Source organism: Homo sapiens, chromosome 1 (genome assembly GCF_000001405.40).
Source record: "Homo sapiens chromosome 1, GRCh38.p14 Primary Assembly".
NCBI lineage: Eukaryota > Metazoa > Chordata > Mammalia > Primates > Hominidae > Homo > Homo sapiens.
In genome coordinates, this window is record NC_000001.11 from 67,776,265 (window position 1) to 67,795,621 (window position 19,357).

At 40.0% G+C, this 19,357-nt stretch overlaps 1 protein-coding gene and 1 long non-coding RNA gene across 5 annotated transcripts in view, besides 1 other annotated feature; one reads left to right on the forward strand and one right to left on the reverse strand.

The window, feature by feature from the left end:
* The window catches only part of LOC105378781 (uncharacterized), a 28,722-nt gene extending 21,517 nt beyond the window's left edge, over window positions 1-7,205 (forward strand). The window contains exons 3-4 of the long non-coding RNA XR_007066163.1: window positions 3,315-3,421; window positions 7,131-7,205. This is a non-coding gene — a long non-coding RNA (uncharacterized LOC105378781). The remainder of the gene's footprint in view (window positions 1-3,314; window positions 3,422-7,130) is intronic.
* Window positions 1-19,357, reverse strand: part of GNG12 (G protein subunit gamma 12) — a 131,993-nt gene that overhangs the window by 74,790 nt on the left and 37,846 nt on the right. For all 4 annotated transcript variants that reach the window (NM_018841.6, XM_047425406.1, XM_047425415.1 and 1 more), the window contains exon 2: window positions 1,194-1,243. The gene's annotated coding sequence lies outside the window, so the exon portion shown is untranslated. The remainder of the gene's footprint in view (window positions 1-1,193; window positions 1,244-19,357) is intronic.
* Window positions 17,362-17,656: a silencer, noted in NCBI's record as "tiled region #6160; HepG2 Repressive non-DNase unmatched - State 22:ReprW". NCBI's record gives its function as "represses a minimal TATA promoter and a strong SV40 promoter by Sharpr-MPRA in HepG2 cells {active_cell/tissue: HepG2}" and the evidence as "EXISTENCE:reporter gene assay evidence [ECO:0000049][PMID:27701403]".

Sequence of the window (19,357 nt, forward strand, 5' to 3'; positions counted from 1 at the left end):
ATCTAAGTCCTCTCACACTCCATGCTCTTCTCATTCACCACAGCTGTTTCCATGTGCCCCATAAACACTATAGCAGATTGCCAAAAATGGCTACATTTCTTCCCCTCCCTGTATCCATGCTCCTTGAAATGGGACCCTGTAGCTCCTCTGTCATATATTTCTTGAATCCAGGCTAACCATATAGCTTGCTTTAACAATCAGAATGTACTGGAAACAATGTTGTGTGAATTCTGAGTCTCAGTGTCAAGATGCTTCTGCTCTCTCCTGGAACCCTGCCCAATCACCATATGAACAAACTTGGGGTAACTTGCAGGATGATGAGATACATGGCTTAGTCATCATTATCTCTCCACCTGACAGCCAGTGACCCCCAGAAACAAAGCCTAGCTGACATGGAACTGCAGCTACCTGTAGATACATGAATAGTCCCAGGTGAAAGGAGAAGGATCACGTAGCTGAGCCTAGCCCAAATCACCAACCCACAGAATGGCAAGATAAATAAAGGATTGTTATTTTGAGCCAGTAAATTTTGACTCAAAATGCTGGCAGTAAATTTTGGGGTGGTTTGTTATGCAGCATAATATAACTGATACACACTGCAAATAACTGTATAGCCACAATATTAGGGAGTGATGCTATATGAAGCCCCGGAAGCTTTCTCACTTTTAAAAAGTACATTATTTTCCTAGCTCTTAAGGAAGTTTTCTACCATGGCAGAACTATTACCTCACAATAATCACATTTAGGTGAGATGAGAGATGAGAGAAAAAAAATAGAGCAATAATAAAGAGTAGAGCCCCAGTATGTTTTATGTTGTAGCTGTGAGACAATTTTCATTACAACACACTACAAGAAACTGTCTGAATTCCCTGGCTGAAATAACACTCTGTTGTTTTGGATACTCCCATCAACAGGGGCCTGGAAATAGTTTCATTACCCAAAAAAGTTTTTATTTTAGTAGTATTTGGCATGTAATCATGGATCTTTATCCTGCCCATGGTCTTACAAAGGAACATGGGTTGCTCTGTTTTTTTAAGGCATGGAAACATCATAAATTATAGAGATTAAAGAAAAGTACAAATAAATAGACATCTCATCATAGCACTGGTAGGGAAGCATCTAACTTAGAAGTGTGAATATCATCTCAAAAATAAAGTCAAACAGTCACTTTGTTTAAGAAATGAAGAACTTACCAGTAAGACTTTGTGTGGTCCAATGTTTTCAGGTTTTAAGTGGAATGAATCTGAAATAGAATTAAATAAACATTCCATAAGTAAATCACATTTGGAAAGGGTGTGCTTTCGATCCCAAGTGACTGCCATAACGTTGAGCATTTATTCATGTATTTAAAGATGAAAAAAGCTTTTTCTGGCTCCTGATGGAAGAGGGAACATTTTTTGCCAACACAGTTTAACTTCCTGAATAGAGAGAGCATGCTCTCATCTACTTTGGGGAGTGTTCAAAGTCTGAGGCCAGCGTAACTATAAATGGTAGTGTTTTTTCCAAACCTCTCCAAGTCAGGGGAAGCCTCTCTAGCCGTTGCCCTTGCCTTGGTCTCAATCTCTTTATGCTAGGGCCCAGCCATGGCCCTCTCTAAGACACCACCTAAAATACTGGTGGTCCAACATAACTTGAAGGGCAGAGGAGGAGTGTATAAGACTTTCTAACAGTGGCTTTCTGATCATATACATAAACACAGATTTTTGTCTTAATTGATAATGATGAGCCTAAGGTAGTGTTGTTCAATAGAAATATAACCCAAGCCACATACTATTAAAACATAATATTGAATATATTTAATAATAGATTAACAATATATAATTATGTATATTATATATTAATTATAACTATACATAATTATAATAAAATACATTTAATCATAATGTTAAATGTTCTAGTAGCCACATTTAAAAAGCAAAAAAGAAATTAATTTTAATATTTAATTTAACCTAATTTATCTAGAATATTATTAACACATAATACAGAAATCATTAACAAGATATTTTACTTTTTTTAGACCAAATCTTCAAGATTCAGTACGTCTCAACTTGAGCTAGCCACATTTCAAGTAGTCCATGGCCACACATGGCTAGTGGCTACCATACTAGACAGCACAGGTCTAGGGAACCTATTCTTGGCCTTCAGGTATTGGTAAGGCTTCAAGAAGTCCGACGCATATGAAGATCTTATTCACCTATTTTCCTTCTCTCAGTCATCTATCATTAGTCCCATTTCATGATGTCATTTTAACAGAAATCAGACATAATGACAGCAAATACTTATATATAGCACTTACTATGTGCCAGGAACTGTTCTTGGCATGCCCCCATCTTACCCCAATTAAACGTCACAATAACTTTACGAGGTAAATATATTATTCTCATTTTGTAATGAGGCAACTGAGGCACAGAGGGGTTACATTATTTACACAAGACTGTGAGACGGTGACAGGGATGGGATTCAAATCTAAGTCGTTTGCCTCCAGAGTCCATGCTTTTACCCACCACCCTCTCAATTAAATTTGAACAGCTCAAAATAAGATAATTACTTTCAGTTTTAATTATAACCATCAAATGATCCAAGTCTGCTCTCATGATAACATGGTTAGATAATAGCAGTGATGGCAGATGGAACAGTTATTGGATGCACCAGCAAATTAAATTTAAAACAATTTGGGATCCGAGCACAAAAACCACAGCAGGTGGGGTCGAAAAGGCTGCACCGGGTCTGGAGGTTTGTCTGGATGACCAAAGTGGTGGTGGCTGGGGAGGTTAATGTGAGGTCCATGGAAAATCTTCTTTTGGTGATTTTTCTGAGGGAAGGGCCTAATGCTTTCATCAGATGCTGAAAGATTTCTCAAATGGGTCTTTTAGATAGATATCCCTATATCTGTCTCAGCAGGGGTAGGGAGTTAGAAAGAATCAAGTAAAAGAATTAAGAAAACACATCTTTTTCACTTTATTAATCCACAGGCCGCAAAAGAATCACACTCAGTGAGCAAAATCAGACCCCCACATGTGAGCTTTCTGCCAAATCACAGAGACGGAGGCTGGTCAGTGACACCGTAGGGCTGAGGCCACTCAAAGTGCTGCCACCCAGTCTCCTATGGAGAGCCCTGAACCTGCTGAAAATCCTTCCGTGGCTTCCTCTAGGTTTTAGGATCAAGGCCAAGCTCCTCAGACTACTCTAAAAAGCCCCTGTGGCCTCATGCCTGGACTCTCCCTCAGGCGCCTCACTGACAGGTCCCAAAATGCACACCCCCTTATGCCTTTGTGGATTCTGTTCTTTCTGCCCAACATGTCCTTTCCCTACAGTATCAGTGGGTCTTCACATCTCAGTTCAAAAGTCACCACCTCTGGGAAGCCTGTGTGAACATCCTTGACTGCCTCAGCAACAACTTCTCTGCAGTAGCGCCAATAAGGTAGTATTCATTCAATTCAAATGGCAATTATACACTACTATAGTTATGTGTCCCTGAAGGAGGGGGATGCGTTCTGAGAAATGAATTGTTAGGGGACTTCATCGTGTGAATATCGTAGGGTGTACTTACACAAACCTAGAGGGTACAGCCTACCACACACCTAGGCTACATGGTAGAGCCTATTGTGTCTAGGCTATAAACCTGGACAGCATGTTACTGTTGTGAATACTGTAGGCAACTATAACACAATGCTATTTGTGTATCTAAACATAGAAAAGGTATAGTAAAAACATGGTATTATCATCTTTAAAATAGGTTGTTTTGTTTAAAAAACATTCAGTCAGTACCAATGGTATTATAGTCTTATGGGACCACTGCCACAGATGCAGCCTATAGTTGACTGAAATTTCATTATGCGCATATGACTGTACTATTGGTAATATTAAAAGCTGGTTTTTTATGTGCTAGGCACTGTTCAAGTGCTTTACATGCTCCTTTAATCCCCTTGGTAATCCTATGAGGAAGGTTCTTTTCATTATTCCATTTAGTAGGACAGCAAATTGAGGCACAGAGGTTAAGCCAGTAGTCTAAGGTTACATGGCTTGTAAGTGGCAGAGTCAAATTGTAAACCCAGACAATTTGGTTCTAGACTTCACACTCCATGCCTGCCTCCAACTAGGGTCCACTTCCCTCTGCTCTCATTGCCCTTGCACTTACTTTACTCTGGTGTCTCCTATATTTTAGATTTCCATTTATTGGTTTCTCCCCCAACAGGTTTGCAGAATCCCTGAAGGTTAATAATGTGTCTAGCTCATTTTTGTCTCTCCAGGACCTAGTAAGGTACTTGGTATATCGTAGATACTCAGTAAAGACACACACAGGAAAACACTGGAATAGCATTGAAAGGATAGGAGCCAAGGCTATCAACCCAGGCCTGATAAAAACGCACCAGTATAAAGAATCTTCAAATACACACTTTAACAAAGCAAGTTTTGACTTCATCTTTTAAATCCAGCCAGTTCCAAGGAGATGGTCACTTCCTAGGCCTGTTCAATACCAGAGGGAGAAGAAGCAACTCGGAGCAACTCGGAGCTTGGCAGACTTGCTCACACCTCCAAGTTCATCAGTTTTATTTGACTTTGCATGTAGAACTAAGTAATAACATGCTTAAGCAATAGCATACCCAGTGTCTTGGCTGGCCATTATCAAGGACTGCCAGAAAAGACACATGCTGAAAAATCTCCTTTGGCTGCCTGGACATGGCTTGGATATTTCTACCCTGGAGTTCCAGGATATATTTCTTTCCATTACTATCTAAACTCCCCTCAGATGGCTATGGAATTTGAACTTGTAGAAGAATACTTTCCTCTAACAGTGAGAAAGGCAAAAAGTTTTAAGATCTAGAACATATACAGATCTCTAGGAAGAGAAGGAGCTCTCTCTAGCCTGGTCAGAGATTGTATTAGGATTGTGGCCCAGCCTACCCACTTGCAGATAAATGCAGTCAGCCATAACATCCACCCTTTATACTGCATCTAGAATGTAAAAGAATCCACTAGCTTCCCATGTGCATGGACGGATGTCAGCATCACTTGTTCTTAACAACCAAACCATAAATCTGTATTCTGACTCTTGCCATATCATCTCCTTACATGATAAGAAATAATGACATTAATTTATTTATTATTGAGAGGTATACTGAATGTAAATCATGTGCTAGGGATGGTTGTAGGTGCTGGAGATGCAGTGGTGAATGAAGTATATTACATTCTTGACTTGAGGCCTTTACATTGTAATCGGGGACAGCAAACAAACACGTATACAAATAAGTAAATAAGATCATTTTAAACAATAAGTTCTACAATTTTTTTCATACATGCAAGGAGTGAAGTGACCTAATGAAGAGTTTAACAAGGTCTCTTCAGCAGCTGTAGGGAGGAGTATTGAAGAGGCAATAGTGAACAAATGGTGACCAAGTATGAGGCCATTTGATTGTTCAGGTGAGATATGGTACCTCAGATGGAGAGAAGTAGATGAATTCAGTATAGGTTCTGGAGGTAAAACAATTAAGACTTGCTGATGAAGTGGATACAGGGAGTCAAGCAACTTGGTCAATGATGGTTTCATTTACTCAGGGAGAAAACAGATTGACGGAAGAAAAAAATCAAGAATTCTGATGTGATCTAGTTAACTTTGAGACATCCAAGGGGGGATGTCAAGAAAGCATTAAGAAGTCTAGAACCATACTGTCCAATAATAGGTACATGTGGGTCTTTAAATTTAAATACAATTAAAAACTCACTTCCCCAGTTGTATGAGCCACATTTCAAGTGGCCAAGCAGCCACAGAGGCAGCTACTCTATGCAACAGCACAGGTACTATATGGTTTCACTTGCAAATTCTGATATGATGTTATCTCAAAAGGCAAAACAGATGTAAAAGGGCTTTTGACACACATAAAGGACACTACTGTAGGGATAAAAGGTAAATTCTCCACAAAATTGGGGCATAGTTGAGGGAAATATATCCTATGCTTTAAGTCTATCCTACAAATTTGTCTTTATTAGATGTTTGGAGGGCTACCAACTTTGTAAAGTAATACTATATGTGTCAAAGAATTATAAATTCATTCTTGAGCTCCAAAGGTTAAAAACAGTGGGTTAAAATGCTGGCATTTTGCCCCATTGTACAACGGCTTCTGTCCCAGAGAATGGTACACCCCGAAAGGTTGAACTGGCCTATTTTAACCAAATGGTACCACCCCATTATCTCCACCTTGGGACTGGCTCCTGGCTGGAAGAGCTGGTCTAAGCTGTTCATCAGGAGAAATTCTTTTTACCTGGTTACTGTCCTAATCCACAGAGAGCTTCTGAAGACAAAGTTTTGTTTTTAATTGAGGAACTGGTGGTATATGTACTCAACTAACTTGCAGATAAGTTGGGGGAAAAGTATTCTGATAATGCCAAAGACAGTATAAATTTTAAAAAAATACACATAGATTCCTATTTCATCACACTTTAAGAGAATAAGTGAAAAAGAGTAAACAAGAAATTGAAATGTTACACTCAACATAATTTTTTCCCCATTTTTGTACTGAAAGGACAATGGCAGTTTTAAAAGGATGGCAAGCTTCTTTGGAATTTACCCATATTTCCAGCAGTCTAGTGCTGCTATTTATTTTTGCATGTTACCTTTGATAGAAACATGTGTTTTTATGTTACTATGGCCATAGTTTATATGCTATTAGTAGTAAAGGCTTTGAAATTGGACAGATCTAGGTTTGAATGTCGGATCCTCAACTAATGAGATGCAAGTCCTTGAACAATTTATCTCTAGTCCTCAATTTCCTAAAGTGTAAAATAGGGCTAATATTACCTTTTGTATATACTTGCTGTAAGGATAAAAAAAGAAAATCTTAGCACAGTGCCACTAGGACGAACTCCATGAATTATGGCTACTATTTCTTTCTAAAATTTCATTTCAAATATTTCAGTATTTCTACACATAGACATAAGTGTTTCATGTTGAAAAGCCACAATTTCCTAAATCAATCCCCTAATGCTGGATAGTTAAGTTACTGCCAGTTTTTATTATCACAAACATGATTACAATGGACATCTTCATGGCTTAGCTTTTTCATTCTTTTATCTTATTTCTCTGGCTTCTCTAAATTCCTAACGGTGAAATTACTGGTTTTTGCTTTTAAAAGGGTTTTTATTAGCATACAATAATATCACCAGCAAAATAATGCACAGTTCCTGAGATCTTCATATTTTATACATAAAATAGTATTAAGACTGAAGAGCTTCTGCACAGCAAAAGAAACTACCATCAGAGTGAACAGGCAACCTACAAAATGGGAGAAAATTTTTGCAACCTACTCATCTGACAAAGGGCTAATATCCAGAATCTACAATGAACTCAAACAAATTTACTAGAAAAAAACAACCCCATCAAAAAGTGGGCGAAGGACATGAACAGACACTTCTCAAAAGAAGACATTTATGCAGCCAAAAATCACATGAAAAAATGCTCATCATCACTGGCCGTCAGAGAAATGCAAATCAAAACCACAATGAGATACCATCTCACACCAGTTAGAATGGCGATCATTAAAAAGTCAGGAAACAACAGGTGCTGGAGAGGATGTGGAGAAACAGGAACACTTTTACACTGTTGGTGGGACTGTAAACTAGTTCAACCATTGTGGAAGTCAGTGTGGCGATTCCTCAGGGATCTAGAACTAGAAATACCATTTGACCCAGCCATCCCATTACTGGGTATATACCCAAAGGACTATAAATCATGCTGCTATAAAGACACATGTGCATGTATGTTTACTGCGGCACTATTCACAATAGCAAAGACTTGGAACCAACCCAAATGTCCAACAATGATAGACTGGATTAAGAAAATGTGGCACATATACACCATGGAATACTATGCAGCCATAAAAAATGAAGAGTTCATGTCCTTTGTAGGGACATGGATGAAATTGGAAATCATCATTCTCAGTAAACTATCACAAGAACAAAAAACCAAACACCACATATTCTCACTCATAGGTGGGAATTGAACAATGAGATCACATGGACACAGGAAGGGGAACATCACACTCTGGGGACTGTTGTGGGGTGGGGGGAGGGGGGAGGGATAGCATTGGGAGATATACCTAATGCTAGATGACGAGTTAGTGGGTGCAGCGCACCAGCATGGCACATGTATACATATGTAACTAACCTGCACAATGTGCACATGTACCCTAAAACTTAAATAATAAAAAAATTAAAAAAATAAAAATAAATAATAAAAGCAGTTTGCCAATTTCTATTAAAAAAAAAGACTTTTATTTTGTATTTGTAAGATCATTAGGATCAACATTTTTACATGTTTGTTTATTAATGGTGTGTCACCTCGAAAAACAATTAATTTTATATTTTTTGGTTATTCGTATACTATGATCCTGATGTTTTTCTTGTAAGTTTGAATAAGTTCTTTATAGCGCACAGTAATCAACAGGTAATATATGCATTTGCTACAAATAGATTCCCAAAACTTACGCAATTTTAAGATAAGTATCTTTTCACTTATATAGCATTTCATAAATAATGTGTCACAGCTATATTTTGTATAAACTTACTCAAGAGCTATGATATTGCTTCTTGGCAAAATGTTTGGCTTTTGATTGTGTCTCAAAGTCAATTTATATCCACGCTGATCATCATAGCAACCCTGTGAATGAGCTGGGGAGTATAACAATGTTGCCTGTACGGCAGAGAAAACAGATCCAAACAGGCCAGGTGACTGAGACAGGATCACTGAATCCTGCAGCTGGCCACAACCAGACTCTGAATCCCTCTTTCTCTGAGTCACAGGACCCCTTGTGAAAGGAAGCTTGCAAGGTAAAAGTGAAGAGAAGTATTTTGTGCAAAATGGATTATTATCACAGCACCAATTCTATATTGTTTCCTATAAGAAAGCCTTTACACACAGCATCAGAGAACCATGTTTACTTCACTGGAGGATCTCAAGAAATGTTAGCATTATTTCAGCAAATTTACTATAACAATGGCTCACAAAACGGATCCACCCTCACACAGTTTTTTATACAGGCAAAATAATTTAAATAATTTAAACCTAAATTAAGTTTTACTTGATTATTATTATTATTTTTTACCTGGCAAAAATACCACTTCTTCTCCCAAGTATTCCCTTATTCTTTGGCTCAATGAAACCACTCTTCTCTTAGAATTTCTACAACCTTTTCTACCTCCTACTTTTTATCACAGATATTTGGGAATGTGTTGCACTTCTCTGACTGGGTGGTAAGGTACCAGTGGTCCATATTTTAGTTGTATCTCCTAAATCACCTGGCATCTTTCTCTGCATGGAGGAGCACTCGTTCGATGTTTTACAGAGATATGGGAGAAGAATTTTACATAGTTAAGAGACAACAGTTTTTTAAAAAATGTAATTAAAATAAGAGCATTAAAGTACAGGTTGCACTAACTGTATTCTCTTTGCTACACCATTCCTTACTTTGGCAAGCATACTATCATGAGACACTTCTAATGCATTCTTAGGCTGGAAGTCTGCATTAGCCAAACGATACTAAACTACATTAAACAGAATGTCTAAGAATGTTTCCAACCATGTACAAATCTGTATAAATATGTAACTATATCTGTGATGCTTTTATTTGCAAATTCAGATAAAACTTATTTCTCAAAAATTCTCTGTGTACACAACACAGACACACACACAGCACACAAGTACTAAAGTCTTGGTCAGCATTTGGGAAAAACTCAGATAAAAATATGGGACATCTGTTTCCTAATACTAGGAAAATTCACAGGAAATGATTAATGTTAACTAGGGAGAAAAATAATCTGGATCAAATTATGAAATGAAAACATCCAAAATTCAGAATTTAATACAGTATAGCCTGTGAGCCATGAGATCTTCAAAAGTGGGGATGATTTAACATTTTATTGAAATATGTTACCAGTAGAAATATTTTTATTCCATGTATATACCAATAAACAAAACTGAATACCCCAGCCTATACAATACTTTCAGATTCTGTGTCTCCCCACTGATATTTATGTAACCCTTGGCAGTTGAGGTTAGCTGTTTCGTGTCTATTTCCATAACATGCCCAGTGCCTTGTGGGACAAATTAAGACCTAACACTAAATTGGACGGTGGTCCCCAGATAGAGAGGATGGGGCTCTTTTGAGAAAGATCTAGCATAGCTGTGTCTCCCAAGGAGAACTGGAGGGACAATGACAGACAGCCACAGAGCAAGGCCAAAGAAAACTGTAGAGGAAGAGGGTTTGTAGCTTGTTGGCTCTTCCACCATCCTGCTGCTTGTGAGTGTCTCTGAACCTACTATGTGTTTGGCAATGTGGAAGGTGGTAGAGACAAAACAGAGAACAAAATTTAGTCCCTCTCTGGGCCAGATGCAGTAGCTCACGCCTGTAATACCAGCACTCTGGGAGGCTAAGTGGGTGGATCACTTGAGGTCAGGGGTTCGAGACCAGCCTGGGCAACATAGTGAAACCCCATCTCTACTAAAAATACAAAAACAACAACAAAAAAAACTAGCCAGGCATGATGGCACGTGCCTGTACTCCCAGCTACTTGGGAGGCTGAAGCAGGAGAACTGCTTGAACCTGGGAGGTGGAGGTTGCAGTGAGCAGATATTGAGCCACTGCACTCCAGCCTAGGTAACAGAGACTTATATATATATGTGTGTGTGTGTGTGTGTGTGTGTGTGTGTGTGTGTGTGTGTGTGTGTGTATGTATATATATGTGTATATCTGTGTGTGTGTATATATGTATGTGTATAAGTGTGTGTGTGTGTGTGTGTGTGTGTGTGTGTGTATAGTCCCCCTCCTCAAGGAACCCACAGTAAGTCATATAAACAACTCACGAGGCCACCATAGCTCCAGTGGCACATAATCTAATCGCAGTAAGTACAACTAACTCTGAGAACACAGGGGACACTTATGCCAGTCTGGAATGATCATAGAAGGCTTCCAGGAGGAAGCAGTGTGGAAGCTAAACTGTACAGAATGACCAGGGTTTACCACAAGAGGAAAGGAGGGAGGTACAAGTAAGGTAGAGGGAACAGCTTGTGCCAAGGCCTGAGAGGAAGTGAGTCCCTAAGGATGCAAAGAGCTTGGTGCACTGGGGCAAAGAGTTCTCTAGTGGAGTCCTATTAAACTAACAGGCAATAGTCAAGCAAAGAGTTCTCAAGTGGAGTCCTTATTAACAAATAGGCAATAGTCAGGCAAAACCTAAAGGAGGTAACTGTAGTGAAAACCACAGGACCAACGGAAATGACCCAGAATCTCTAGCATCTTCACATCAGAAAGAGCACTGACAGGGGGGACAGCCAAGGCCCTTTTAGGTAATAGACCTCTAGAGAGAGGGCAAGAAGATAAATTGTACCATGGCTACAACCTCATCAGAGTCAATGCTGGTTTCCAATTCACAGGAAAAACCAATAGCCAGCTACCCAACCCAACAGAAAGGAAGAGTGAGCAGGCCTTATTCACAACCCTAAGAGGACGGCAGAATTATTTCCATTTTACAGGTAAGTTGCTGTTTTTAGAAGACAGTATTTATCAATATTCCTTTCTATTGATTGATCCAGCTTCTGACTAGGAAAAACCAACTCATCTTGCTTTGCCTGGGACTTCCCAGTTTTTGTACTGAAAGTCTCATGTCCCAGGAATCCCCTCAGTGCCATGCAAGCCAAGATGGTTGGTCAGCCTACTCAGAGTTTGTGAGGCACATGAAGTGGGCAATGGGATTTATGACACAGGTTTTTGTATAGGAACTGGTGCAAAGTTACATGTGACTGACCTCCCCAAGCTAACTTGAATCCTTTGAACCACGGAACCTTTTGGAATAGCTTAGTGGCTTCTCAAAGGCTCCTATATAATTTGCCATAATTTACACTGAATAATATTTGCAAAGCAAAAGCCTAGCTGAGGGCTTAGTGATTACTATCTGTGTGCTAACGTCAAATAATTGCATACTTCACAGCAACTAGCCAGAAGAGTGGTCTGAAATTAGTTGTTGTTGTTGTTAACTGAAAGTTAACCAAATATCTTTCAGCTTTAACTTTTTTGATTTGTTTTGTTTTGTTTTGTTTTGAGACAGTGTCTGATTCTGTCACTCAGGCTGGAGTATAGTGGTGCGATCAGGTCACAGTTCCCTGCAGCCCCTACCTCCTGGGCTCACACAATCCTCTTGAGTTTCCCTGGTAGCTGGGACTACAGGGGCACTTCACCACACCCAGCTAGTTTTTGTATTTTTTTTTTTTTAAGGAGATAGTGTCTTGCTACGTTTTCCAGGCTGGTCTTAATCTCCTGGCCTCAAGCCATTCTTCTGCCTTGGCCTCCCGAAGCATAAGGATTTAAGGCATGAACCACTGTGCCTGGCCAGCTTTAACTTTTGACATTGAAAATCTTCCTAAAATAAATTAGTTTACTTACACACGAAGAGTAGTATACACATTTTCATGTATCTTTGTTAACTAGGAATTCTACCATGCCTTACTTATTGCAATGGCTTACATTCTTACTGTTCGACAGATTTAAGAAGGTTTAGAAGACAACAAGAATGCACTATAGTTTCCAATAAATACAGTCACAAAAGGATATTACTTTGTGGCAATATCTGACAGGCAGAGAGTGGCTGACAAATCTTTATAGAATGAATGATGGTGGGACCATACAGAACTACGAAAAAGAAAATGATGAGGACAGTGAATGAGATAAAGGCTATACTTGTGCTTTTGCTACAGTGCTGTTGACTAAAGCAGCGGGAGCTCAGAGCTGAGGCACACAGTTCTTGTCCAATAAAAGGAAGGAAAAGCTCTTCAAGAGCAGTCCTTTCCTTACAAGGGTGGTAATGAATAAAATAGGCGACATGGCCTTCGGTCTGCAGAAGATGCAGAAAGACTTCAATGGTAAGACCAAGGGCCCGCTATTAAGTCCCGATTCAAAAGGCATCCCCCCAGGAAGCTCAGGAAACGTCATCCAGGCTAATGCTCTTTGGTGAGAATCCTGACATAGGAATGGATGAGGACATGTGCCTTAGAATCTTTTTCAGAAAAAAACAATGATTTCTAACACATTTTTGGTTAGCTTTCGATGAAAAGATATTTCTAACATCTAATTGTATTTGAATGGAACTATATTAAAAACACTTTTCATTAGCCTTAGAAAACTAAAAAAAAATTAAGAGTAAAATTTAGCAGTATTTTTTACTGATGATATAACTATGATTCCTCTAAAAGTTCCGGTTTTATTGGAGTAGTCAAGGTAACTGAGATTTTGCTATATGTTGACAATAAACATTTTGCCCATGAGGCTTAGTTCTCTAAAGCTATTACTCTTTTTGCCGACACCTTTGCATCAGACATAGATAGAATCACAGCAGACATATTCAGGTTATGTCTGCTACAGAGTCAGGCGGCACAATCGGGCAGGATGCAGCCAAGGGCACTGCCCTGAGCCTGGATCAGAAAAACAAGAGCCGGAAGGGTTTGTTTCCACTCTGCCAGACCTTTGGTGTAGATGAGCGCACTTCCCCAGGCCTTGGACTCAGAGGAAGAAAATGAGAAGTGCTCCTCAGGTGAGGCTGTGAGCCTCCCTCCAAGACCTGCACATTCACAGATGTGTGAGGTGGGTGTGCTATAAAGTATCCCATGCTAGTTTTGGGGCTTTGACTCCGCAGAATAGTTTAGTCTTAAACTCTAGCTACCAAAATATGGATTAGCAAAGAAATTTTTCTGTCATCGAAAACCAAAGAAGTAAGATATACAGATTCTAAGGACTTGCTCATCTTTTCCTGTATCATCAAGAGATCAACAGCTTATTAAAAAACAAAAACAAAACACTCAAATGTGTTCAACACAGTCCACTCAAAGCCACAACTCAACAGGAAGACAATTCTGAAGAAAACCAGCATATCCAGTACAACCCACCTGTTCTTATACCTACCACCTGCTTCCTGGGTAAAGCCACCTTTGCTGCCTCTATTGTAATATTAGTTTGCACCCCCGCCTCCACCAGGCATCCTTACAGATCTTTCCATTTTACATACATTTTTACATACATTCTGAACTACACAAACAATCTGCTGCCCAGCGTTTAGGGAAATATACAAGCATATAATCATTGTACTAGCCAAAAAAACCCAGAGCCAAGAAAAAAAATCTGTCATCCACTATACCACAGCAGGGAGATTTAAAGGCAGCTCAGGGCATTCAATAACGTTCTATCTGTCAAATCAGCCACTTCTGTGCCTATCCCTTTTCCTCAGATCCCCTGTTGGTGATGTATTTATGTATCTGCATCGACAACTTGATCGTAAGGTCCCCTGACTGCATAGGCCATAGTTTATTCCTTTTTTTTTTTTTTTTTGAGATGGAATCTCGCTCTGTTGCTCAGGCTGGAATGCAGTGGCACTATCTCGGCTCTCTGTAACCTCTGCCTCCCGGGTTCAAGCAATTCTCCTGCCTCAGCCTCCTGAGTAGCTGGGATTACAGGCGTGTGCCGCCACCACCACGTCTGGCTAATTTTTGTATTTTTAGTAGAGACAAGGTTTCACCATGTTTGTCAGGCTGATCTCCAACTCCTGACCTCGTGATCTACCCGCCTTGGCCTCTCAAAGTGCTGGGATTACAGGTGTGAGGCACCATGCCCAGCCCATACTTTATTCCTATATGTATTTGTTTTCCTTCCCACAAGGATTATTTCTTTACTTGAAGCGCCCTAGATTTTTCATAAATGAAAAACACACTCTGGATGTACTTATTTATATCTAATTTTCTAAAACTGAAATGTTCATAGTGGCTCAGGGGAAGGGTAACACAAGAGTTAATTCTGAAATTCAGTTCTATTTATCTTATTTGTCAAAGCCAGCTTTTACTCCTGTGAACATGTATCTCCTAATTCCAGGAACAATTGTGGATATGATGATGTAAATACAGTTTTTCTTAATCTTTTAAAATTCACACTCATTTCTGATAACCTTATGTTCCCTAATCAGATTCTGATATACCCATCCTTAGGTGTCTTAGCAAACTGTGATATGTATTTTCAGTCTCCTTTGCTGAATTCTCTCCTCTTCCTCAAATCTGATGACTCTCAAATCTCTATCTCCAGTCTCAGCTTGCTCTTTGAACGTCAGACTTACTTGTCTGACTGATTTCTTAACATCTCCCCTAGGATGCTTAGTAAGGCATCACAAACAATTGTGCCTTGGCCACAATCATCTCCCACACTGCTCTCCCTTCTTGGGGCTCCCAGGGGACATCAATGGTACCAGTAGGACTCCATCATTCATGCCCTTGTTCAAGTCAAAATCTTCATTCATTTTTGGCTCCTTTCTCACCAACTGCATATCCCATCAATCAGCAAATCCTGTCAGCCCTACCTTCAAAATACCTCCAGAATCCAATCATGCGTTGGCATCTCCTCTGCTCCCATCTGGGCAAACTAGCAGCATCTCTCGCCTGGATGACTTAAAGAGTTCCCTCTGCTGATCTGGGCTTCACACTTGCTTCCCTCCTCAACCCCCCATCTAGTTTCCATCAGTCATTATTCCCTAGCTCAAAACTCTCCAACAGATTCTCAGCATACTTAACACACTTACTCACGTCCACTCCTTGGCCCATCAGCAGCTATGAGAACTGGCCTTGGCTCACTCTATCCAGCCACACTAACCCCTCTTCTCCTTAAATCTGCCAAGCAATGCTCTGTCTTGGGGCCTTGACACAGGTTCTTCCTTCTGCTTAAACTTCTCACAGACACTGCAGGCCTGCACATCTCACTGCCTCACTTCTTTCAGGTCTCTGGGTCAAGCGTTATCTCCTCAGAAAGGCCCTACTCTCTCTTCCCAGACTCTGCTTTGCTTTTCTTCTTGGTACGTACCCCTTCCCCCTTCCTGGCACTCTATTTTCTATCTATTGAATTATTCCCTCTCCTTCACTGGAATGTCAATGCCGTAAGAAAAGGATGTTGTTTGTTTACCGTTGCACTCCCAGTGCCTGAGGCAATGCCTGACACAGGCTAGGCATTCAAGAAAAAATACACATTTTTTGGTTACTGAATGAATGCATATTCTCAACTGGCCAGAAATATTTTATTGAACTTGATTTTTCTGATGTTCGTATTATAAAAATAAACATTTCCTCTTTCCCCAAGTGAATCATAAGATAAGGCATGATTTTTAAACTACGTATGCCTTACCCCCTAGATTCTGGTATCTGCCCATTGGGGTGTTTTGATATATAAAACCTCATGGCTACATTCTGAATTTTTACTAAGCATCTGGCATGTTCTGTAGTCTTTTGCCTCTAACTAAAGCCTCAAGGCTTTATTACCTTTAAAAAATGCTTGCAGAATTAAGCTAATAAAGACATTGTCTGCCTTATTTGTGGTAGTGGCAGTTTTTCTCCCCTCCAGTTGTATCTGAATAAGGCTGGCTCAGATTTCAATGCCAAGTAGTTTGCCACACAACTTTTGTTGTATGGTTCCATGCAGTTTGGGCCTAGCAGCCACAGAAAACACTGTGGAATATTAAGACAACTCCTTGGAAGAGACTAGAAGGGAGTTCAGGCCCCTTCTGCCAGGAGTCTCCAATATATTTGGGTTTTCTGGCTGCCTGGCCAGTATTGGTGCTTTTCAGAAGAGCAGTGTTTCCTTCATGAATGAAACCCATTTATCATGACACACTCAGTGGACAGAGTTAGCTCCCAGGGGACAGTCGTTCTCCCAGCCTCTGACATTTTCCCAGTGTGACAGTGAATACCACCCCACAGAGACCAATGTCACTCTGTGAATTCCACCTTGGACTCTTAGCAAACCTCAGCTTCAGAGAGTTCAGTCAACTGGAAATTGTCTCCTGTGTCTTTTCTCCTTTTCTTGAAGCATAATCTTTCTGGATCTTTTATATATAAGACTTTGGAATCATTGTGTAAAAATAGGATATTCTTAATCCTGACTCATTTGAGAAATAAGTCAGACTCAGCTTAGTTCAAAGATCTGGTCAAATTCTAACATTAGTGATAACATAAATAGAAAACACAGATGGGTATCAGTTCTGCCCTTTTACCTCTTTAATAAATAAAATGCAATAAATCATCTGCAAGTCTTGGTGAACTTTGATTTCCATGTATTTCTTTAAAGCTTAAAAATTTTGATCTTTGTGATGTGAAATCCTATTCAATTGTTTGGGAATTTAACTTGTTAGGTGGTTTGTCCAAAAGAAGAAAACGGTAGATATCAAATACTAAGTATTTGGTCATTCAAGTCAAGCACTTTGATTTTTTTTTTTTTTAAACTACAAATCTGGCCTCCTAGAATGTTGTGCTTGTGCAGTTTAACTCTGGACTTAATTCCACTGCAGTCTGCATCCCTCTCGGGCTGTGCAAGTGGCTTTCTTCCGCTGTTCTCTGAATAATGAACTTGGGAAGAGCCAACATAAACCCCACACTGGTGACATTCTGAATGACCCCCAAATTCCTGCACTCTTTTGCAAAGCTTCACTGCCAGCCCTCCTCCCTGTCCCCTCCTTCCTCAAACACTGTTTCACATGTTTTTCTCTTCACTCACTTTGTTGGGGAAGTATTTTGTTAACAGTTCTTTGACCAGTTTCAGCACACAGTTTCTGGCATTAGTCACTGTTGCAGCTTTTTAGAGGCCCACCACTTGACTCCAGAAAATATTTCTCTTTTGAATTCGTTTACTCTTTTCTTTTGCCATCCAAAACGGAGGAGGGGGGATAAACTCTCATAGAGAGACATAACAGGCACAAAAACCTTTCTCCTCAGCATAAACAGAATCTTAAGGCACCAAATGGGGGCTCGCAAATCCTGAATCCCTTAACCCAGATAATAAAGTCTTACAAGTAAACCATATCCACTAAACTTTAATGTCTGCTTTTGCTTCCCGCTTATTACTTTTGTGAAAATGTGGCCAACCTAAGGTTGTCCATCCACCAGAGAGTCCTCAACATCTCCTTGCTAGCAGAACCTGGGCTTGTTGGAATAGAGACCCTGTGAGCTCAGGAGAGATGGGAGCTGTAGTTTAAGGGTGGGTCTTTGCCCTGCTCACTCCAATGAGGCCTGAGGGGAGATGACAGGAGAATGCTGGGGAAGGATTCTGCTTCCTCACAAAAGCCAGGGGTAGTGTGATCCATGCCTCCTTGATTCCCAACTTTGAAACTGGTCATGAGGCACAGAACTGTGACGGCCACTTGCTGACCACGAGAAAGCATGTCTCAATTTAAAAAACTTAATACAATAAAGACGGTGGATCACAGAGATGAAAAGAGCATAGGTCTTTCATGGCAAACAGCAGAAGCAGCTGCCTCCTCTAAGCTTTATGAAGATGTGGAGAAACAACTCCCTACTTGTTAGGGCCAAATTAGTTCAGCTTTTCTGTTACTTATAGTCTTGATATATATAAGATGACAAAAGAAAGGCTTAAGGCTTCTTAATTTGGTCTCCTCTAACGTAGAATTGAGAAAATTTTTGTTTAGCAAACTTCAAGCTTATAGGGCAAGTATGACTTGCTCCAGCTATATTTATATCATTTAGCACAGAGGCCCTTCGGCTTTCTCAATCCAGAGTGGTCGCTCCATCCATCTATCCAACCAACCAACCATCCAACCATCCACCCACCTACCTGCCAACCCATTTTTTCTTTTTTTCTAACAACAACCAACTGCTGAGGCAGGCATTTCACTAAGCACTGTGGATACAAACAACCCAAAGTACAGAAAATACGATACCCATTTTAGAGATAAGGACACAGGGGTACAGGGTTTCAATGTTTTTCCTAGAACCTAGTCTACAAGTGTAGAGTTAGGATTCAAATCTAGGACGTGTGAATTCAAAGGCCTTGCGCTTTTTACTATCCCATGCAGCTTCAAACAGTAATCTCTTTGTTGGCCTGATTTGGAAACAACAAAAACTGCACTGCTTTTTAATATCCTGCAATTTTGACGGTTCCCAACCCTGCCATCCGCAGTTAGTTACACTGCACCTTTTCTTGACATTTGATGTACCCAGACCAAAGGTCCACTTTCCACCTAGAAGTCTGACGGACACCATGCCTGCAAGATGGCAGCCCACCATGATGATCTCTTTTTCAACCGCACGCACCTTGCCTCTGCAGGCTGCTGTCTGAACTGCGAGTCAGAGACCTTTTCTATCTTGCTTACCTGTGTTGAGTACACTCTGTGGCACTCACTAGGTCGTCCATACATATCTGCTGATTAAATGTATGAGAAAAAATAAGCCAAAGAATAAGATGCTGTCTCAGGAAATCCTGAATGCCAGTTCTCAGGACTCTTAATTTAATGAGTTGGTATCACTTCAAAAACCTTGGCAGAGAGTCCCATTCCAGAA